Below are 23934 nucleotides of genomic sequence, written 5' to 3' on the forward strand. Positions count from 1 at the left end.
GCACCTCAAGATTAAGAGCCACCAGCCTGAGAGGCTGCTGCTTTGGAGACCTCATAAAGCACCAGAATAAGTCAAAGTGAACTTTTAACTCAAGATTTGATGCACTGAGCTTGGATTTGATCTATGATGAGACTCGATCTGCTTTTAAAGACTAGTTGATTTAAGCCCGAAAGAACTGAGACCTGTCTTATGAGAATTAATATAGGCTTTCACAATATTGCCTCATTTCCCTCTGAACTATTAACTCTTGAGTTTCTGGTGTCTTTAGGTGAAAATTTCGATACCAATCTGCGTCTTAATGCTCACAAATTATATCTTATTCTTGATACTGACGATGTTGGAACTTACCTGGAAATGAGCTAAGTCCTGATTCACGTCTCTGCTTTGTACTATAACACACCCATCCTGAAAGTCACGCTGAAAAAATTCTGATACTAGCTAAAGCCCTGGGGTAAAAGTGGGTGAGCAACCCCAGTTTAGTACCCACCAAGAGCAAGAGAGATGGGAGCTGTCCTGTGGAGGCCAGGAGAAGCAAACCCAATCATCAACAAGCCCCATGGCTCAGCTTTTTCCCTAAACATCAACTAAGTCTCTAAATTCCACCGTCCCTGAATTCAAAGTGTCCTTTACTTTTTCTCTAGGGGCAACAAAGCATAGAGGAAGGTAGTGTGATTCGGCAGTCAGAGACCTAATTATGCCCTAGGCCAGGGGTTTTCAGACTTTGCCCACATCAGAATCACCTGGAAGTTGGTTAAAACACAGCTTCCTGGGCCCCTCCCCCAGAGCTTATGATTCAGGAGGTCTGGGTGGAGCAGGAGAATTTGATTTCTAACAAGTTCCCAGGTGATGCTGATGCTGCTGGTAGGACCACACTTTGGGAACCACTTGTTTTCATTTTTGTGACCTCGGGCAAGTTCTTTATCCACTCTAAGACTTGATTTCCACATTTGCAAAAACAAAAAGCTGGCTAATTCGCTCTTGCAGTCCATCCCACCGTCTCTGTGCCCAAAGGTCTGCCTGCTTATAAAACAAGAATTTCCAAATGTTCATATCACATTCCTAAATGCAGACAGTAAATCAGATCTGATGCTGATGCTCATATTGCATTGTATCAGCAGTTTACTACAATGCCAACAAGACAGAACTTGAGAGCTTGTGTTTGCCATTTTTGGGGGGTGCCAGTGCCACGGAAATATTATTTGGCAGGGGCTCACACTCAGCTGTCAGTGTGGTCAACTGTACATAGGTTCTGTGATATGAATAAAGCACTCTGGATAAGTTTATTCAGGTAATGGTTAAAGAGAAGAGAATCCATATAAAAGCTCAACAATGTTTTGAAGAGGGTAGCTCCAAGTCCCCAAACTAAGTTTTATTTGTAAGAATTCACTCATTTGTTTTCGGAAAAATTTTTACTATCTGCTATGAGCCAGGTATTGTGCTAAGGATACATGTGGTATGGGTGACAAAGCCCCTATTCTAACGGGGGAGGGAAGCAGAGAATAAAATATTCACTAAAATGAGTGCCAAACTCTGGCTGTGATTGTGTGTTGTAATAGAAGTGAGTCAATTAGTAGAATTTGACTTACTAGGGCCTGTCTGGAGACGGAGGAACTGAGATCTGAGGTGTGAAGAAATGGACTCGGGGAAGAGGAGAGGAGAGAGTTCCAAGCAGAGGAAGGAGCACGTGTATGGCCCTGAGGACGGAGTGGGGAGAGGGAATGGAGAAAAACCAGTGTGTTTGGAGCAAAGAGAAGGAAAGAATGTGTGTTATCAGATGGGGCTAAAGACGTAGGCAATGCAAACCATGCTGCGCCTACAAGGCGTGGCGGGACTTTATCCTAACATCAACCAGCGGCAGGGACAGAACCAGAACTACTTTGTAGAAAGAGAATTCTAGCTCCAAAGTAGGGAAAGGCCAGGAAAGAAGCCAGGTGGGAGCAGAGGGAGCAGAAAGGCGGCTGCAGAGACTCGCTTTCTCTCAACGTGACGACTGGGGAGACTAACACATTCTCTCCCCAAAAAAGTCAACTATAAAACTGGACAAAACTGTCAAAAGCAACCATTTCAGAACAGTAGAAACTGACCAAACTTTGATAAGAACAAGCAGAGCTTGGGGATCATGCCTGGGCTGTCCCCAGCCTCCTCCTAGCAATGCTGACCGGTAGTTCGACTGGGGCAGCAGGGTTCTGCTGCCTGAGGGAGAGGGAGAGGGCGAGGGTGAGGGCAATTGCTCACATGATTCGGATCATCATCAGGTAAAGTGGCAATTGCAGGCAGATGCAGTGGGAAGACCAGGGGCTCCACTGGCCTGAGGTTGCTGCCCAGTTTGGAGCAAGCCACGGACCAGCAGACTAGCCAGGGATTTAATTGGGAATTTCAGGAGGTGAGAAAACCATGGGGCTAAACTTTTCATGTATCTGTTAACCGGTGGTTGAGCACAACTGCAGCAGAGACCAGAGCAGGCCCACGGCACCCATACATCCTTGGTCAACAGAGCCTATGCTCAGGCACAGGGAAGAGCGATAAAAAGTAAGAGCCAGGAAGGACACGGAAACAGCCTGAAATGTTAATGTGCTCCCTCCTAACAAGCAGATAGAGGGGCAGAGTCAAAGCCTTTCTGGCTAAAGCACAATCTCTGGCCAATCTTTGACTAAATACCAAGTATATACATGCAAAATATACAAAGAACCCTTACACCTCAAAACTAAGAGAAGCAACCCATTCAAGAAATGCAAAATATTTCATTTCACCAAAGAAGACATTTCACCAAAGAAGATACATGAATGGTTAATAAATACATGAAAAGATGCACATGATTAGTCTTTAGAAAAATGCAAATTAAAACCACAATGAGATTCCAGTTCACACCCACTAGAACAGCTATAATTAAAAAGACAATGACAAATGGTAAGGATATGGAGAAACTGGAACCTTTCCACACTCTTGGTAGGAATGTGAAATAGAACATCTGCTTGTGAAAATAAACTTAACCTACAACACATCAGTTTCACTCCTAAGAATCTACTAAACAGAAATTAAAACAAATGTCTACACCAAAGACTTACATGCGAATGTTAAAGCAGTATTATTCATAGTAGCCAGAAACTGGAAATAATTTAAATGTTAACTGGTGAATGGATAAAGAAAATGTGGCATATCCATCCCATGGCATACTATTCAGCAATAAAAGTACAACATGGATGAACCTCAAAAACATTATGCTAAAGGAGCCAGATGAAAAACACTACAAATTGTATCATTCTATTTATATAAAACGTCCAGCAAAGGGAAACAGAGAGACAAAAAGATAAGTGGTTGTCTGGGGCTAAGGGTGGGAGCAGGATTAGCTGCAAACTGCTTACAGGGATTATTTTATTTTTTTAAAAAAATGTTGGTGTTAGAAATATTCTCAAACTGAATTGTGGTGATAGTTACAAAACTATATAAATTTACTAAAAGTAACTCAATTGTATACTTACAATGAGTGAATTTTATAATGTTTAAATTATACCTTAATACAAGTGATATCTACAGTGATCCTGGCAATAGCCTAGACCAAGGTGGTGATGGCAGAGTTTCAGTTGACAAGATTTGATGAGGCAGGAATTCAGTTTTGGGAATGCTGCATTTGAAATACCTTACTCCAAGAAATGTCACTTAGCCGTTGGATGGATGAATCTGGAGCCCAGGAGCGGTCGGAGTTGGAGATGTGAATTTGCAAATCATCTGCAAATAAGTAGAAATTGAGGCCACAGGCATAGATGAGATTGCCCAGAAAGAGGAACAAGGAGGACAAGGGGAGGCAGGAAGGAACGGGCCTGGGACCAAGACTTGAGGAATTCTAACATTAAACAGGGAAAAGAACAGAGAAAACAAGGCAGAGAGGAAAACCAGAAGCACAGAAAGGACAGAGTGACCATGTCAAATGCTGACAAAGTGTCAGTAAGAACTGAAACATCCTATTTGTGACCATACACTCATCTGTTTATTTCTAGATTCATGGATTCCCATGGCCCTAATTTATTGTCAAGCAAATCCGTTTTTGTTTTGTTGTTGTTGATGCAGCAAGCCCAAGAGAAAGGAAAAGAACTTCTCTTCCAAACACGTATTGCCTAAATCCACCAGCTATTTTCCAACATCCTCATTCCATTTTTACTGGGAGGAGTGGAAACATTATTGGGTTGAAGCCAGGATCTGAATTTCAGCTCTGCCACTGATTGATTAGCGGTCTGAAACCAGGTGTGGCAGAGACAGACTACTACCCACTAAATACCTATTTCCCTTCTCTCTCAAGAGAACGCTAGTTTTTAGTCGGACACAACATGCTATGCCGGAATATCTTTCCCAGCCTTCCTTTCACTTAGATGTGATCAATTGACTAAGTTCTAACTAATGAGGAAAAATGCTGTCGTATTACCTTCCCTCCCTCCTCCACTTGCTTTTTAGAAGATGAATGCAATGGCTGAAATTCCATGCCACACTCTAGGGATGGTGAAGCAGAAAGCTGGAAGGAGCATGGGTCTCTGATTTCTGTGGAATCCCCAAACCAACCCGGAAAAGCTACCTCCAAACTGCTTTTATGTGACAGAACATAAATGCTGCATATTAGAATTCTCTGCGGCCTTTTTTTTTTTTTTTTTTAGACGGAGTCTCACTCTGTCGCCCAGGCTGGAGTGCAGTGGTGTGATCTCGGTTCACTGCTAGCTGTCTCCCGGGTTGACGCCATTCTCCTACCTCAGCCTCCCGAGTAGCTGGGATTACAGGCACCCGTCACCACGCCCGGCTAATTTTTTTTTTTGTATTTTTAGTAGAGATGGGGGTTTCACCATGTTAGCCAGGATGGTCTTGATCTCCTGACCTCATGATCTGCCCGCCTCAGCCTCCCAAAGTGCTGGGATTACAGACATGAGCCACCGCACCCAGCCCAGACTTTTTTTAAACAATCCCAATCCCCCACATACACTTGGACCAATTAACTCAGAATCTCTGGGGATGAAACTCAGGCAGTGGTAGTTTTTTAAAGCTCCTCAGGTGGTTACAATTGCAGTCAACGTGGAGAATCTGTGATGGACTCCAACTTTATGTAACTCCATTACTCACAGCTGAACACAATTCCTAACTGATAATCCAAGCTGTTTGACTCTTCCTGTGCCAATGTGAACATCTTTAAAACAGGGGATTATAATGCTTACTGCTCCCACAAATATTTAGTAACTGAGGATACACTGGTAAGTGACTCAGTGTTCCTGCCTTCAAGAAACGTACAGATATGTTGTCTAAAAATTTACATGAATGGGCAAGAGCAACAAACTATATAAATTCTACAGTTATTTGTGGGAAGCATAATCAAAACCCAGGAGAAATAGCAAGGATGGGAAATACATCACCATATTAAAGGAAGGTGAAATCTAATTCCCTGTTTCAGCAATGCACTCAGTAATTGCTGAGAATAGTTCAACACTGCTGCTATATCCTCAATGCACACACCTATACACACACACAGTACTAGAAATTATGCCTAGTATATTCTACATGTCTTAATTTATGATAATTAAAAACAATGCCACATTAATTCCAAGAAACTCAACTCCAAGAATTGTATGACAGTTGTATGAATGAAACATTCACCATTGATAATAAAGCTTTCAAAATACAGAATCCTTCAGAAATTCACGTGTTGCCATCACACTAAAACCATCACACTTTGTAGAGGAAAGAGTTATTGCATCACTTTTCAGACTTCACAGAAAAACAATAATTACTCCTCAAAAGACTGTGTAAGATTATATCCCTTAGGGGGATCAAATGTTCCAGGTGCTTAGATCCATATTCCACAGAATCTAATCAAATAAAAAATGACATTTATTTTCTGCAAAGGATGGTACAGTTTCTTGACAAATCTATGAATTTTGGATCACTGCTTCCAACTCTGGACAATGTGGAGAACGTGCCCATCTCCAGCTCCCTCCTTGGAATCCAGTTGTGGAGACGCCACACAAAATAAAGGGAGCTGAAGAGCAGAGAGCCGTGCAGAGCAGAAGTGGTTCCCGATTGCAGGGACAGTCCAGGACAATCGGACATTAAGGGCCACAGAGCAGAGGCAGATTCAAGGAGGCTCCTCTAGCTGGGCCATCCACATCATTGTCATGGGCAGATAAGCAGAAGCACCAGCTGGAAGGGCTGCTGTGAAATCAGGGCAGTGCCTGCCTTAGAGGGGGTCACCTCTGGGAAGAAGAATGGTGGGCCAGCCAGCTCCTGCCTATGCCTCTTCCCTACTCAGCACCTTTCCACAGGCCACAGGAGGCAGAGTTAGCAAAGCCTAGGGCCAGTCCTTGGAGGGAGGGGAGGAAAGGCAGGGAGTTAAGGGTCCCTGGTTACACTTCAGTCCAAAGGGCACCTTCTCTCGCCACGTCATCTCATCTAGGGAGGACAGGTAGTGCCTGAGCTACTGTCATTCACCCCCTGGTAGAAAACTTAGGCAAGACAGCTAAGCATCACAAAGCACTAAAAGGTCCATGCCAGAGGCAGAAAGAACCAGAAATCAGAGAAACATCTACACTATAAAAGGAAGAAAAAAGAATGGAATGACTTAGACAGAAGAAGCAGACCTAATAGAAAACAAAGAACTAAAACTTAAAACAAAACAAATACCATAGTTAGCCTCAGCAAACCAGCGGAGGCTACTGGAAATGCAAGTAGAAACGAGCAGTTAGAAACCACTGATTGAAAATATGGGGTTTGAAAAAGAAGAGCTTTGCTAAGGGCACTCACAGGACTGGTAGAAGAGCAGAGTGTGGTGGAAAAACGAACTGGTGAGCTGGAAGATTAATCAAGGCACTCTCTCAGAAGGCATCAGGACTGGATTTTTAAAATGAAAAGAAAATGTGATAAAACAGAAGTGTTAACATCCTTCCACAGCGGTTCCACAGAACGAACAAGGAATGAAAAGAAGCGAAAATATCTAAAGAAACAAGGACCAAGTATTCACCACAATTAAAGAAAGATACGACATTTCAGATTGAAAGATCTCACTTAGTGCCAAACAGGTTAGATGAGAAAAAGCCACATGTAGATTCATTATAGTAAAATTTAAAATCAAAGAAAGAAAAATCTAAAAGCTACCAGAGAAAAAAGGCAGAAAACCTTTAGAGAAACAAACATCAGGTTGACATTAGAGTTTTTAATATCAGCACTGGATGTATAAGAAGAGAAACGAGGCCAGGCACAGTGGCTCACGCCTGTAATCCCAGCACTTTGGGAGGCTGAGGTGGGCAGATCACAAGGTCAGGAGTTCGAGACCAGCCTGGCCAATATGGTGAAACCCCATCTCTACTAAAAATACAAAAATTAGCTGGGCGTGGTGGCAGGCGCCTGTAGTCCCAGCTACTAGGGAGGCTGAGGCAGGAGAATTGCTTGAACCTGGTAGGAGGAGGTTGCAGTGAGCCGAGATCATGCCACTGCACCCCAGCTTGGGTGACACAGCGAGAACTCTGTCAAAAAAAAAAAAAAAAAAAAAAAAAAAAAAACAGAAGAAGAAGAGAAAGGAATGATATTTTCAAAATGTAAAGGAAAAAATATTGGAATCTTTAGTCTGGGAAGATCTTGTTGACATTTTAAGTGTGTAGGAAATATAGATACATTGGTCAACAGATACAAAGTTTTAGTTAGACAGGAGGAATAAGTTTTTGAGATCTATCGCATAGCAGGGTGACTATAGTTAGTAATAATCCATTATATATTTTAAAATAGCTAGGAGTAAATTTCAAATGCCTCACCACAAAAAAAGATAAGTGAGGTGAGAGATATGTTAATTAGCTTGATTTAACCACTCCACATTGTATACATGTATCAAAACATCACATTACACCCTATAAATGTATACAACTGTGATTTGTCCATTGAAAATATTTTTTAAAAACACTCTCAGGATGGGTAAGCATTAGAAACTGCTGGCCACACATGGTGGCTCATGCCTGTAATCCCAGCACTTTGGGAGGCCAAGGCAGGAGGATCATTTGAGCCCAGGAGTTCGAGACCAGCCTGGGCAACATAGCAAGACCCTGTCTCTTAAAAAAAAAAAAAATCTAAAAAAAAAGAATAAGAATGAAATAAATATCTTTACAAATATACAAAACAGATATACAGATATACGGAAACATAATTTACCACTAAGGGACCTGCATTTAAGGAGCTTTTAAGGTTCTTTGGGATAATAAAAATAATCCCACAAAGAAGTCTTGTTTGCAAAAAGAAATGATGAATAAATAAAATGGTAAACAAAGGCAAATCTAAACAATATAAGTCTACATAAAATAATAAAGATGTTTAACTTATGGATTCTTTTTAAGGACAGAACTAAAGTTTGACATAGGAGGGTATCATTAAAATTAAAATATTCAACTGGGTTTGGGAGAAAGTTTAAGACAGTTAACTTTAAACCTTTTTTTTTTTTTTTTTTTTTTTTTTTTGAGACAGAGTCTCGGTCTGTCACCCAGGCTGCAGTGCAGTGGCATGATCTTGGCTCACTGCAACCTCTGCCTCCCTGCCTCAGCCTATCAAGTAGCTGGGACTATAGGCGCACCCACCATGCCCAGCTAATTTTTGTATTTTAGTAGAGACGGGGTTTCACCGTGTTGCCCAGGCTGCTCTCGAACTCCTGAGCTCAGGCAATCCGCCCATCTCGGCCTCCCAAAGTGCTAGGATTACAGGCGTAAGCCACCACATCAGCCAACTTCAAACCTTTTAAAGCTTAATATGGATGGTAAAGTTTCAAGGGAAACCAATAGAAAATATAGTGCATAAATTCCAAAAGAGTAAGAAGAAAAAAATAGAATATAAACAAAAGAATAAAAATGCAATATATCCTCCAAAAATACAAGATGGGGTGGGGTGGAAAGAAGAAACATAGAAAAAGCTGGACAGATAAAAATCAGTGGTTACAATGGCACAAACATGTCCAAACGTATTAATCACAAATGATATAAATGAATTAAACTTGCCAGTTAAACAACAGATACTGCAAATTAAACAGATGTTTTAAAAAATCTGAACACCATGCATGTAATCTCAGCACTTTGAGAGGCCGAGGTGAGAGAACCACTGGAACCCAGGAGCTTGAGACCAGCCTGGGCAAATAGGAGAGCCTATCTCTTTAAAAAATAAAGAGAAAAGAAAGAAAGAAAAATTCAGCCAGGTGCAGTGGTTCATGCCAATAATCCCAGCACTTTGAAAGGCTGAGGCAGGAGAATTGCTTAAAGTCAGGAGTTTAAGACCAGCTTGGGCAACAGAGTGAGACCCCACCTCTACAAAAAAAATTTTTTTAATTAGCTGAGTATGATGGCACACACCTGTGGTCCCAGCATAGAAAATATTCTACAGAAAATAACTACAATTAAAAGCACCTTAGTAATATACTGGATTAAGCTGTTTTTACTTTTATGAAACCAACTTTGCAGAAGATTAAGCTGTTTTTAAAACTGCATATTTATTTACAAACATGGTTAGAAAATAAAACTTTTTTTTTTTTTTTTTTAAGACAGGGTCTGGCTCTGTCACCCAGGCTGGGGTGCAGTGGTGAGATCAAGGCTCACTGCAGCCTTGACTTCCCAGGCTCAAGTGATCCTCACCTCAACTTCCCCAGTAGCTGGGACTACAGGCACACGCCACCATGCCAGGCTAATTTTTGTGGGTTTTGTTTTTTTGTTTTTCATTTGTAGAGATGGGGTTTCAACATGTTGCCCAGGCTGGTCTCGAACTCCTCAGCTCAAGAGATCCACTCACCTTGGCCTCCCAAAGTGCTGCCACCGCACCCAGCCGAGAATGAAACTTTTAAAAAACAAACCATTTACCATATCATTGCCCCTTCTTGTTCTGCAGCCCTGTTCCTGATAAAAGCTCCAACCCTTGGTCCCTTGGCTGTGCCCACTATGACTAATTTCTCACTATTTGTCTCCTATTAAACCCCTGGCCTCTCCTCAGACAAGACCCATTGTTCCCCAAGACCTCTCTTCACATTTCTCCCCTTCTCAGGCTTGTCCTACAAGAGGAAAATTACATGATTTAGGGGCCAAAGGCACTGCAGTCAGTTGTTGTAACAGCAATTACTTTGTCTTTATTCTAGAAGGGAGTTTTAGATATTTATTTTGTACTTTTGCCATTCCACTGATTGCATCAATGTTAGATTTTCAATTCAATTAACTCTTTGGATGTTATAGGTATTGAGGAGGATCACTTTTTCTGTTTCTGATTTCCTTTTCCTGCCTTACTGCAAAGCACAGAATGTTCTGAAATGAGTGAGCAGGAAACTTTGTATTACTCTTGTCTTACATGGAAACATTTCTAAGTATTTTTACCATTAAGTATGATGTTAGCTGTTGGTTTCAGATAGTCTTCATTATAATAAGGAAAAATCCATTTCTAATTTATTAAAGTGTTAATGAAAAATAAATTTGATTAAGGGAAGCTGGGAAAATGCTGTGAGAACACTCTATCTCTGCAACTCTACTGTAAATCTAAAAATATTTCAAAACAAGACATTAAACGAAAATAGATGTTGACTTTTATGTAATGTCTTTTCAGCATCTATTGAAGAGACCATATGAATTTTGGATACACATTTTAAATCCTGTAGTCAAAGCATAAACTTTTCTTGCTGATCTCCCCACATCCATTCTCACTCACTTCTAATCATCTCCCTCTACTCGACATAAAGGTTTTTCAAACAAATGTAAATGAGATCCCCTTGCACTCCTAATTAAAATCCTTCAATGGCTTCCATTGCATTCAAGACAAAATCCAAAATCCTTAAGTGTGCCTACAGGTCTTACATGATGTAGCTCAGCTCACCTCTGCAGTCTGCTCATTCCGCCTGCTCTGGCCACAGTGGCCATCTTCCCAATGCCCCCACTTTCCTGCCTCAGAACACTCACCTATCCTGATCCCACTGTCTGGAAGTCTCTTCCCTACTCTTGGTCTGGCTACTTCTTACTTGTGCTTTCAGATCCCAGCTGAAAAAGGCCTGCCCTTGAGCAAAGTCTTCCCTTTCTCATACCAGATTCCCTGTCACTCTGCCCCATAGCACACTGCCTCCCTCGCATTTCTCACAAGTCATCACTGTGTCCTTATTTGTGGGATTATTTGTTAACATCCACACATTCACTAGACTGCATGTCCTTCAGGGCGGAACCACATCAGGATTCTTCACTGCTGGCTGCTCGGTATCTAGCACAAATGCCTGGTACAAAAAGGGCATTTAGGCCAATCGCACCTGTAATCCCAGCACTTTGGGAAGCCAAGGCGGGCGGACTGCCTGAGCTCAGGAGTTCAAGATCAGCCTGGGCAATACGGCAAAACCCCATCTCTAGTAAAAATCAGCTAGGTATGGTGCCGCGCACCTGTGGTCCCAGCTACTTGGAAGGCTGAGACAGGAGAACTACTTTAACCTAGGAGGCAGAGGTTGTAGTGAGCCAAGATTGCACCACTGCACTCCAGCCTGGGCAACAGTGAGGCTCTGTCTCCAAAAAACAAAAGCACCAAACAAAAAAGGGCATTTAATAAGTATTTATAATACTGCATGATTTTGCACAGGTCACTTAACCTCTCAGTGCCTGTTTCCGGTCTGTAAAATGGGGCTAAGAAGATCTCACTTCACAGAGCTGTGCTAAGGTTTAAACAAGCTAATGCACATATAGCACCTTAAAGATGGACCTGGCACATATACAGTACTAAGAGGCTGCTTCTTGTCAGTATTTTTTTTTTTTTTTTTTTTTGGAGACGGAGTCCCACTCTGTCGCCCAGGCTGAAGCGCAGTGGCACCATCTCGGCTTACTGCAACCTCTGCCTCCCTGGTTCAAGCGATTCTCCTGCCTCAGCCTTCCGAATAGCTGGGATTACAGGTGGCTGCCACCACACCCAGCTAATTTTTATATTTTTAGTAGAGACGGGGTTTCACCATGTTGTCCAGGCTGGTCTTGAACTCCTGACCTCAGGCAATCCACCTGCCTCAGCCTCTCAAAGTGCTGGGATTACAGGCATGAGCCACTGCGCCCAGCCTTCCTGCCAGTGTTTTTTGAGACAGAGTCTTGCTCTGTCGCCCAGGCTGGAGTGCAGTGGCGCAATCTCGGCTCACTGCAAGCTCCACCTCCCAGGTTCACGCCATTCTCCTGCCTCAGCCTCCTGAGTAGCTGGGACTACAGGCACCCGCCACCACGCCTGGCTAATTTTTTTTGTATTTTCAGTAGAGACCAAGTTTCACCGTGTTAGTCAGGATGGTCTCGATCTCCTGACCTCGTGATCCACCCGCCTTGGCCTCCCAAACCTGCTAGTCTTAATGTAGCCCCTAAGTCAGTGGCCAGCAGGCACCTGTTTCACCCTGCTCACCCTTCTATGGAGTCTGATTCCAAAGAGAGCAGTGAGGAAGAACAGCCAGCTCAACAATGCAGAAAGCTGAAAGCATGGAGAAAGACAGAGGATTTATTCATTCTTGCACTTTTCTGACATTGCCAGTCCCATGCCCTTCCTTCCTCCTTCATCCCTGCTATAGTCCAAAAGACACAGGATAAACAAGAGGCCACAGCAAATAGCATTTGCACAGTCTTTCTTACATTTATTCATTCAAAAGATATACTAAGCACTAAGTACCAAGCACTATTCTAGGTGCCAGGAATACAACAGTGGGAAAACATAACAAAAATTCATGCCTTCACCTCAAGGACCCTTTATAGAGAATAGAGAAGGCAGAGAAACTAATAATTGCTAATATTTCCCTAACCTTATGATGGAGGCATTATTATAATCCCTTGTTTTGTTTTGCTTTTTAGGTTTTTTTTTTTTTTTTAGACAAGGTCTCACTATGTTGCCCGGATTGGAGTACAGTGGCACAACACCAAGGCTTGTGCAGCCTTGACCCCCTAGGCCCAAGCAAACCTTCCACCTCAGACTTCTGAGTAGCTGGGACCACAGGCCATACCACACCACCCAGCTAATCTTTAAAAACTCTTTTGTAGAGACAGGGTTCCACTATGTTACCCAGGCTGGTCTCAAACTCCTGGACTCAAACAATCCTCCCACCTCAGCCTCCCAAAGTGCTGGGATTATAGGCATGAGCCAGCATGCTCAGCTATTAGCCCTTTTTAAAGATGAGGAAACCGAGACACAGAGATCTCTCATCAGAGTCAAACAGCCAATCAGCAGCAGAGGCAATAGGAGCCCAGGCAATCTGTCCCCAGAGCTGTGTTCCTAACTACTGCATTATTCTGCCCTTTTCTGAAAAATAAGAGTATATAAAATCTTCTACCTCAGAGCAAAGGGTCTCAACTTTGAAGCTTTTTGTTAAAGCAGGGTGACGGGGTTGCGGGGATGGGAGGGAAACACTTGTCAGGACATGTCAAATATTCAACAGGAAGTCAAGGTGGATTTCTACTAAATCCAGTGAACACAGGTTTCCAGGAATCACCTCCTCAAAGGATTCTGTGGGCAGCTAAAACCTAGGAGAGGGGAAGGAGAGAAGATGAATGGGGAAAATCCAAACTATAATACTACCGCCCTAAAAGTTCTCACAAGGGCTGACAGGTCCCAGCCAGGATGGAGCCCACATTCTGCCTCTTCCGGCCACTCTGGACAGCTGGCTCCCTCCCTCTCCCCTGCTTCTTCCTTGCCCACTTTAATCCACCTCTCACACCCAGGCTTAGTTTTATTGCTTGATTACCTTTCCCACGCATGAGATCCCACGCCTCCCAGACTGGCAGGAAACCAGAGCCCTCAGCAGAGGCATCAAAGCCACCCAGTTGGCGGATATCAGGGCTGAGGAGAAGAGACTGCAGCAGGCAGGCCAATTCATCCCAGGCACTAAGGCACCAAGAAGCCAAAATGATATCTGGGCAACCAGACCAGGCTGCCACAAAGGGCTCCTGGAAAACAGGCACATTTTCAAAACAAAATCCACTTGTGGGCTAGCTCTACCTGGCATTTAATTAACCTGAAAGGGTTGGATGTACCAAAAAAGCCACCAAAAATAAAATTAAAATCTCAACTGTTCCTCCAACACATGCTCCCAAGCCTCCACACAACATGATCCAGCGTGACCACAACATCCACAGAGTAAAAACACAAAACCCAGGGTCACTCAGATCCTCCTAGGGTGACTCTGGGGCCACACAGTTTACTCTCTGGGAACACATAATCCCAAACAGAGGATAGAGCGGGCTGAAATTGCCATAAACTCTGACTCTCCACAGACTCAAAGGCAACCTGAATCAAAATCATTTCCAATCTGGGTCTGAACCTGTCAAAATCTGTGTCTACAGAGATAGCTGGTGTTTGGCCAGCGAGTTCAAATCAAGGTGGAACTTTCCCAACTTTCTGGGAGAGGAGAGCATCAGTTATGAGGCAGAGCTGAGGTTTTCTCCAAGGAATTTTTCTTAAACTGGAGGCAGCTACAAGCATCTGCCTATAGGCTGCCACCGGAATATAAAACAAAAGTATAAGCAACAAAGGAATCGAGTAATAGAAGTATCTACCTCACAGGACTTCAATGAGGGTGAAGTAAGTTATTTGTAAAATGCTTAAAATAGTATCTGGCACACAGGAAGTATAATATGTCTGTCAAATATTAATAACATAAATGAAGGAAATACCAATTACTCTGAACAAAATCACTGTCTTGCCTACATAGAAAGCTTAATTTTTCAGGGGCATGAGTTTGTGATCACATTCTGCATAAATACATATGAGCTGTGATTTCCTAGTCCTCAAGTCACACGATGATATCAAACTTGTCAATATGTCAAAGAGCACATGGCATTCCACAAAGAGCTCTATGTCAAGGAACCTGGTGATTTTTTTTTTTTTTTTTTTTTTTAGACGGACTCCCGTTCTGTCACCCAGGCTGGAGTGTAGTGGCACAATCTTGGCTCACTGCAACCTCCGTCTCCCGGGTTCAAGTGATTCGTATGCCTCAGCCTCCTGAGTAGCTGAGATTACAGACATGCGCTACCACACCCAGCTAATTTTTGTATTTTTAGTAGAGACATGGTTTCGCCATGTTGGCCAGGCTGCTCTCGAACTCCTGACCTCAAGTGATCCACCTGCCTCAGCCTCCCAAAGTGCTGGGATTACAGGAGTGAGCCACTGTGCCCAGCCAGAACCTAGTGAATTCTCATCACAATAGACAAGATTAAGGCCTAGTGAGAGAGGAGGACAAAGATTAATAAACATCACTGAATTCTAAGCATTGACTATGATATTATTCAAATCTGTCTTGAAATATCCATCATACCACTCTAGAAAAAAAAATATAAGACTTCTTAGCAAGACAATAAAACATTCCCTGACAAAAAAAAACCTATCACTTGATTAATTATTCTATTCCCATCACCTCAAAGAAGGAAAAAAAAAAAAAGTGTGTTCTCCTCAGATGAACAAATATATATTCAGATCCAGCCTGAATTTTGAGCAACAGTCACCACATTCAACCTTATTAATCTACTCTCCTGTAGAAGGAATATGAGTTTGGGGAGTGTCTCCTGCTAAGTTTCTTCGATTCCACAAACAACACCATAGTCAGTGTCCATCACTTCAGTTGGCTCTGCTGCCATTTCAATTTGCCAAGCAAGAACAAACAAAGCAATCTATTTCACGATCAGGGAACCAAAAAACTAACCCCTTTTCACTTTGTTCTTCACCAACCCCACAACTACCTCTTAAATTATTTTTCACAAAGTATATATAACCCACTTCAACTCTCCCACAAGCAGACTAGAGCCAAAAAAAACTGGGAAATCCTTTGGCCTCCTACTGTTATTATCAATAATATTATGAGTATCTCTGCCAATTAAACTAGAAATTCCTTTGACATTATATCACTCGATTAAACATAGCTCTGGGCTTGGCATAGTGTTGTGCATATGGAGGAAGTTTGCCCTAACAGATCCAGGGCAAAAGATCATTAAATAGAAATGTATCCTTTCATTATCATCCTCCCTATCTATTATCACTACCAGCACATAAAGCTCTTTAAAGCCAAAACTACTCTCCATAACCAGGGACATTTTGGGTACTTTATGAATATATACAGCTAGCAAAATGACCAATTCCCAATCAATCAGGATTTGATGAATTAGGTCCATGTTGATGAATTAATCTTCAGGCCATCCTGACCCTCTAATCCTCCTCCCACACTGGCTACTCCTCTCCTCTGAGCAGGAAGAAAAGGTGAGAACCAAATCTGCCAAGCATGGTGGACCACTAGTGGATTGGATTCAAATTTCAAGATAAAAGAGGTTGTACCTGGTGATAACAACTATGTTTTTAGATCATCCATGGCTAACAGAAAACTGACTGAAGTAAAACTTGATTTTGAAAAACTGTCACTGAAGTCACTGAAGACAGCCTGCCTGTGAAACCCATTTCTGTAGAAGGTTTTATGTTAAGAGAACTTTTATGGCTCTAGAAAGCAGATCATTTCTCCAGCCTTCGGGAGCAGTGAAATTACACAGTCTGCCTCTGAATTATTGATGTCATAATTTATTGAAAGGTCTCCCTTAGGTCATAGGTCACACCCCAGATGCAATGATGCACAGATACACAGATGCACAGACCCATCACAAGGTCTGTGACCAGGGAGTAAAAGCAATAGCAAGCCAATGGCTTTTGAGGATCTGCTATATGCAAAGGCCCCATGGTATCAGACCAAAAAAGAACTCTAGGTCGGACCAACACACAGAGCTTCCAGCATACTCATCTGATTATCTTATTTTGTCGTCTTAAAAATAGGGCAGGTATTCTTTATTGCATTTTACTTGTAAGAAAAGTAAGACTGGTAAATTTAAGTGACCTCTAGCTGGGCACGGTGACTCACGCCTGTAATCCCAACACTGGAAGGCCGAGGTGGGCAGATCACTTGAGGTCAGCAGTTCAAGATCAGCCTGGCCAACATGGTGAAATCCCGTCTCCACTAAAAATACAAAAAGTAGCCAGGCATGGTGGCGGGCATCTATCATCCCAGCTACTTGGGAAGCTAAGGCAGGAGAATCACTTGAACCCAAGAGGCAGAGGTTGCAGTGAGCCAAGATCACACCACTGCACTCCAGCCTGGGTGAGACCTCCATCTCAAAAAAAAAAAAAAAAAAAAAAAAAAAAAAAATTTAAGTGATCTCTCCATTGTCTCATAACTAGTTCATATAAGGACCAGGACCAGATACTTGAATTTTTGGTCTATAGTTTATTTTATTAAATTATGAGGTTCCCTATTCAATACTTGTTGATATTCACTGCCAAAGACTCCTCTAGATGTTGGGAATAGAACAATCCGTGAAACAGATAAGCATTCCTGCCCTTGTGGAACTGATATTCTAGGGGTGGGAAATAAATTATAAACATATACACAAACATAGTAAGTGTCCATAAGTGGCTTAGAGAAAAATAAAACAGGCTACAGTGTTGGAGGCTGGGAAAAGGCTGCGGTGGAGGAGCAGTTCTAACTTCACTGGGTCAGGGAAGGCCTGTCTGTAAGGTGACTCTGAGCAAAGACTGGAAGGAAGAGGGTAAAGCATGGTGGCGGTAAAAATAACTGTGTTTCAGGCAATAAATACAGACTCTGAGGTGGGAGCAGGCTTGGTGTGCTGGAGAAACAGCCAGTGCAACACGGGTGGAGTGAACAAGGGGGAAGTGATGGGAGATGAAGGGAACCAGAGCCAGATCACACAGAACCTTGCAGGCATGATAGGGACTGGGGGGTTGATTCCAGATATAAAGGGAGACCCCAGGAGGGCTCTGAGCAAAGACATGACACTAGCAGCTCACTCTAGAATGATGCTTGGGTGGGTGGAGAAAGGGGGATCCACTAAGAGCTTAGTATAATTGTCTAGGCAGAGATTTATGTGAGCACAGAACCTGTGCAGATTGGTCACATGGAAAAGTTTACCTTTTAATTTTTTCCAACACAACTGGAAGAGCCACCCCCTTCTCTTGCACCTGCAGCCTGATAACTTGTTGCTCTACCAGCTGATCTAGAGGCAAGATGGCCAGCCCAGGACAATGGTGCCAGGTGTTTTTTGCCACGTAAATGCCCTAATTGTGTCGGATGTAGTTCACTAGTGAGGATGAGGTTAAGGAAACTACTGGACAGGAAAAAACATCATTGACTTTGGTTTCCTATTACTTCAGGATGTTTGCTTGCCTTTAAACATTCTGTGATTCCCTGGGTTGTGTCGGCCAATTCCCTGATATAACAGTCCATTTCCATAGGCCAGGATATTTTTTAAGTACCTGGAGATATTGATCTCCTACAGATGATGGCAGCACTTTCAGGCAATGAGATGGAAAGAGGAGATGAGCGGCTCCCCCTGGGGAACTGCAAGTAGCATTGTTTTATTTGGCTTTCACTTAACTAGTGATTAGTAACCAATTGGAAACCTTGAAATCATTTCTACAGGAAGCAGAGCCAGGTCAAGGGCCTTCTGAAACCATTAACTTTAGGTCACTGGAGAGAAGTATCATTTAGCTAAGAAGTGTCTTAGAATAAAATGCTAAAACATAGCTAGCATTCGTCAGAATTCTTAATGACTGTGTTAAGTCTTTTTACTTTATCCATAGCCTGAGCTAAGGGAAAACTACCTAGAGGTTAATGAGCAAAGTAAAGAACTTGAGAGCTGACATTACCTTTCAGATGGCTGGCCTTGGCCCTCCAGTGGTCTCTCAAAGCTATATTTCTGTAACACTCTCCTTTCTACTGGAACTGTTAAGGCCATCGGTAATTTTATCACCAAGACCTATAGTTTCTAAATAATGACCTCCACCAAAATATATTAGCATTCAACCAGAATACCAATATGATTTGGTTTCTGGTCTTCTGCCTTTCATTCTCTGAGGCTGTCTCTTAAGGCACCTGAAGATTAGTTTTGGGAAAGGGAGCTGGCATAACGGAAAATGAAAGATTCCATTAACTCCATGACTCTTGTGGCTAATGAAAGCTATTGCTGGTAGGGCTCAACGTTTAAAAAAAAAAAGAAAGAAAGGGGGAGAGAAGGAACTTCTCACTAAATTGCCATCTCTCAGCAAATGATTTCATTAGCAAAAAAGTGCAAATGAACATTTCCACAGTAACTCACCAAGTCAGTACGGCCACTTGGACACCCCAACGATTTCACTTCCCTCCATTTCAGATCAAGCGAGTGCACTGTGACTGACATAACCCTCAGCGACCACATCAGCTTTTCTTTCCAGGGCCGTTCTTCACATCCCATGGGAAACACATGCGACTTTGCCTTTAGGAACCCACATGAATCTACTAGAATGGCCCCCACTCTGAGTAGCAGCTTTGAAACAAACCCCCTAACACCATTTTTTTAAAAATGTTAAACACATACACATTTAAGAAATTAAAGACATTAAGATGCCTAAATCCTGGAGCACCAAGAGGCTGGCTACACTGGCGCTGTGTAAGACAATCATTTTGCATCCTTGTCTCCTGGCCTTTTTTTTTTTTTTTTTTTAGATGGAACCTTGCTCTGTCACCAGGCTGGAGTGCAGTGGCACAATCTCGGCTCACTGCAATCTCCACCTCCTGGGTTCAAGCGATTCTTCTGCCTCAGCCTCCTGAGTATCTGGGACTGCAGGAACACGCCACCATGCCCAACTAATTTTGTATTTTTAGTAGAGACAGGGTTTCACCATGTTGGCCAGGATGGTCTCGATCTCTTTACCTTGTGATCTGCCCGCCTCAGCCTCCCAAAGTGCTGGGATTACAGGTGTGAGCCAGTGCACCTAGCCATCTCCTGGCCTTTAAACAGGAGGGACATGGGGTTCAGTAAAGGACAACCTATTGGCAGAATTCAGAGTCAGGGGGCCGGGCGCGGTGGCTCACGCCTGTAATCCCAGAACTTCGGGAAGCTGAGGCAGGCAGATTACCTGAGATCAGGAGTTCAAGACCAGCCTGGCCAACATGGTGAAACCCTGTCTCTACGAAAATACAAAGTTATTAGCCAGGCTTGGTGGCACGCGCCTGTAATCCCAGCTACTTGGGAGCCTGAGGTGGAAGAATCGCTTGAACCTGGGAGGTGGAGGTTGCAGTGAGCCAAGATCATGCCACTGCACTCCAGTCTGGGGGACAGAGTGAGACTCTAGCTCAAAAAAAAAATAAAAATAAAAATAAAAGAATTCAGAGTCTGGGAAGCCAGAGAGTCTCCTCAGTTGGACTTCTTGGCAAATGGAATGTATGACAAATCAAAGGCTGTACTGACATACCCTCAAGCTTCCAGAGTAAAATTTAACAAATGGCGCCGCTTCCTTTAACCAAATCCATGAGTCTCCCAAACTTACAAATATTTATAGCATACTTAAATTAATTTCCTAATAAACTACTTCATGAATTAAAGGACCCCCTACTTCCTTTACTCAAATCATTATGTAACCCAGCAGGCTGTCTTCTCAAGCATGGTCCAGAATAAAAGAACATTGTCTTCTGCCACACCTGGGCTGTTGCTTTGATTCTTTTCATCTCCACAGCCCAGCCTTTCAGGACACCAGGGCAGGGTTCCATATTAAATGCGACACCCACAGAGTACTCAGATAAGTCCATCCTGCTTCAGACCCTGTTTGAGGGGGAACTTAAAGAAGACACAGGGCCAGGGGTGCTCAGGGCCTACAGAGTTGCCAAACTTTTTCTGGAAAAGGGGAAAAAGTCAATATTTTAGCTTCAGTAGGCCATTGCAGTCTCTGTTCCAACTACTCAACTTCAACTCTGCTGATACCACACAAAAGTAGCCACAGACCAGAGTAAACAAATGGGCATGACTGTGTCCCAACGAAACTTTATGTATAAAGAAAACAGTGGGATGGTTAATCTTAAAGCTACTCTCATGGGGGTGGAGGAGTGGAATGGGAAGTGGCCGCTGGTGGTTCTGAGCATTTTGTCCCTTTCTCAGAAATCTCCAGATACCCTCAGGGGAATGGCGAAACACCACTAAGCTTGGGGTAATACCTTCAACATTCCCTCTACAACAGGGGTGTCCAATCTTTTTACTTCCCTGGACCACATTGGAAGAAGAAGAATTGTCTTGGGCCACACATAAAATATACTAACACTAACAATAGCTGATGGACTTTAAAAAAAAATCTCAAAAAAAAAAAAACTCATGTTTTAAGAAAAGTTTACAAATTTGTTTTGGGCTGCATTCAAAGCTGTCCTGGGCCACAGGCAGAGCACAAGCTGAAGGCTGGACAAGCTCACACTACAACTTTCTTTCACCTCCTTTCGGAAGGAAAGTGGCCTCAAGCAGGGAACATGCAAAAGTTAGTCATTCTCCTTCCATAAGTCTAGCTATATTATGAAAGAGGTCAACTTGGGTTGGCAAGTCTTGCTTATGAATAACAGTCTCAACTAACTAGTACAGGCAGGTGCTGGAAGGTCAGGCCCCAACAGGAAATTTCCCCTAATCCTCCATGCAGACAAGCATTGATTAAAAATGGTAATTTTGATGGTTGCAAAACAATGTGAATGTACTTAATGCCACGGTACAGTATGCCGAAAAAAACAGTTAAAATGATAAATTTTGTTATGTATATTTTACCATAATAAAACAATGTTTAAATCAAAAAAAAAAATTGGCTGGGCGCAGTGGCTCACGCCTGTAATCCCAGAACTTTGGGGGGCCGAGGCAGGCAGATCATGAGGTCAGGAGTTTGAGACCAGCCTGGCTAACACGGTGAAACTCCGTCTCTATTAAAAATACAAAAATTAGCTGGGCGTGGTGGTGGATGCCTGTAATCCCAGCTACTCGGGAGGCTGAGGCAGGAGAATCATTTGAACACAGGAGGCAGAGGTTGCAGTGAGCCGAGATTTGCGCCACTGCACTCCAGCCTGGGCGACAGGGCGAGACTCTGTCTCGGAAAAAAAAAAAAATTAAGGCAAAATAGTGATAGTCACGGGGTCGGGGGGCGGACATTAGTAAAGTTGAGGAAGTACTGGTTATTGAGAAGTTCCAAATGGCAGAAACAAGCAGTGTTTTCTAAACTCTTAGAATGAAATGGTAAGTTAAGGCACCCAAGAAGCTCTCGCCCTCTTATAAGGCCAAAAATCAACTTCATCATCAACATTTCCTCTTGAAGCCTTGAAGTATTTTGAGCATGTCTCTCCTTTGATGCTAGAGTTTCAGCTAGACTACAATGCGCCTTCACTACAATGGAAACCCTCAATAAAGCTGTCGTAGAGTGATAGAATTTCGGCACTGAAAGGGACCTTGGAAGATACACTACCCAGCAGCTCTGAGCCTTTTCCTGCCACAGCAGGCATGATGGATGGAGCTCACAAGCATGATGGATGCAGCAGGATCCACTCCCATGGCCTGCTCAATCCATTTCCTTCTCTGCTGCTCAAGAAAGTACTGCAGAAGGTGAGCAAGGGTGGCATTATTATATGAATAACCTTGAGTCCAGCCTAGTTGTATTGTTAAGTAAGGCATTAGCAAGCTTAGAGATCTTATTTGTGTTTGTACATACACACACACATATACCCACACACCCGCATATATAACAGCATAAGAACTGATTTATAATACAATCTAACTGGAATTTCTAAAATGCCATTTGGGGTTGATATATAATAGACTCTGTGCTTTTAATTTATACCAAGTAAATGAGGGGACTATAATACCACCCCTGGAGACCCTGTAGGCTTTTGTAAAGGGAGTCAGAAAGTGTAAATGGACACAGAAGTACTAGGTTTTTTTTTTTATTTTGTTTTTTGTTTTTTTTTTCTTTAAGATGGAGTCTCTCTCTGTCGCCCAGGCTGGAGTACAGTGGCACGATCTCAGCTCACTACAACCTCCACCTCCCAGGTTCAAGCGATTCTCCTGCCTCAGCCTCCCGAGTAGCTGGGACTACAGGCGCACAACACCACACCTGGCTAATTTTTTGTATTTTTAGTAGAGATGGGGTTCCACCGTGTTAGCCAGGATGGTCTCGATCTCCTGAACTCGTGATCCACCTGCCTCAGCCTCCCAAAGTGCTGGGATTACAGGCGTGAGCCACCACGCCCGGCCCAAGTACTAGTTTTATAAACCTAAATAGGAGAAAAGCAAAATCAAACTATTCAACCTCTTTGTGCATGTATTAATTCAGGCTACCTTAGACTACTGTAGACCACAGGCTAACTCAGAAACAATTAGAAAACTGACTAACCAAGGTGAACACAACAAAATATATGTATATAAAACTCTGAAATAAAGATATTGTTACTGACAAGAAGCGTTTTTTCAGTGCCCAAATGTGCAATATGCAATTCTATGCCCCGATTCTGTCATATCTCTAACCCACCAAAATCTAGGAGAATGGGAGAACTCTCATATTCTCGGAGAACCAAGAACTAACCAGAGGCTATAACCACCATTTCTTCCTTCTTTATTTTTTGATTGTTTGTTTGCATGTTTGTTTTTGAGACGGAGTCTTGCTCTGTTGCCCAAGCTGGAGTGCAGTGGCACAATCTCAGCTCACTGAAACCTCTGCCTCCTGGGTTCAAGTGATTCTCCTGTGTCAGCTCCCAAGTGTTGGGATTATAGGCACCCGCCACCACACCAGGCTAATTTTTGTATTTTTAGTAGAGACAGGGTTTCTCCATGTTAGCCAGGCTGGTCTCGAACTCCTGACCTCAAGTGATCCACCCACCTCGGCCTCCCAAAGTGCTGGGATTACAGGCATGAGCCACTGCACCCAGCCTCTTCCTTTCATTTTTAAGACGGTCCTAACCAAGATCAGTTATCTCCCTAGAATAGCATTTCCCGAAAAGTGTTCAGAGGTATTGGTGAATAAAAGAGTGCTATCGCCAACTAAGTTTGGGAAACTGAGCCAAAATACATCTCTACCAAGTATCAATTTCTTTACTGTGTGACTTATCAGAGTCTGTAAATATGCTTGTATTCATTATGCAGCTCCAGAAGGATA

General features: G+C 42.9%; 1 protein-coding gene across 12 annotated transcripts in view, besides 1 other annotated feature; it reads right to left on the reverse strand.

The window, feature by feature from the left end:
• OSBPL10 (oxysterol binding protein like 10) overlaps positions 1–23934 on the reverse strand; it is a 416868-nt gene that overhangs the window by 229687 nt on the left and 163247 nt on the right. Inside the window, exon 1 of one of the 12 annotated variants that reach the window (XM_047447387.1) lies at positions 16285–16879. The exons of the other annotated variants lie outside the window; for them this stretch is intronic. The gene's annotated coding sequence lies outside the window, so the exon portion shown is untranslated. Of the gene's footprint in view, positions 1–16284; positions 16880–23934 lie in introns of those variants that run through there. 12 annotated transcript variants of the gene reach the window in all.
• Positions 6294–6795: an enhancer, noted in NCBI's record as "NANOG hESC enhancer chr3:31938297-31938798 (GRCh37/hg19 assembly coordinates)". NCBI's record gives its function as "activates a minimal SCP1, AML or CMV promoter by ChIP-STARR-seq in naive H9 embryonic stem cells {active_cell/tissue: H9 hESC(naive)}" and the evidence as "EXISTENCE:reporter gene assay evidence [ECO:0000049][PMID:30033119]".

Source organism: Homo sapiens, chromosome 3 (assembly GCF_000001405.40).
Source record: "Homo sapiens chromosome 3, GRCh38.p14 Primary Assembly".
Lineage (NCBI taxonomy): Eukaryota > Metazoa > Chordata > Mammalia > Primates > Hominidae > Homo > Homo sapiens.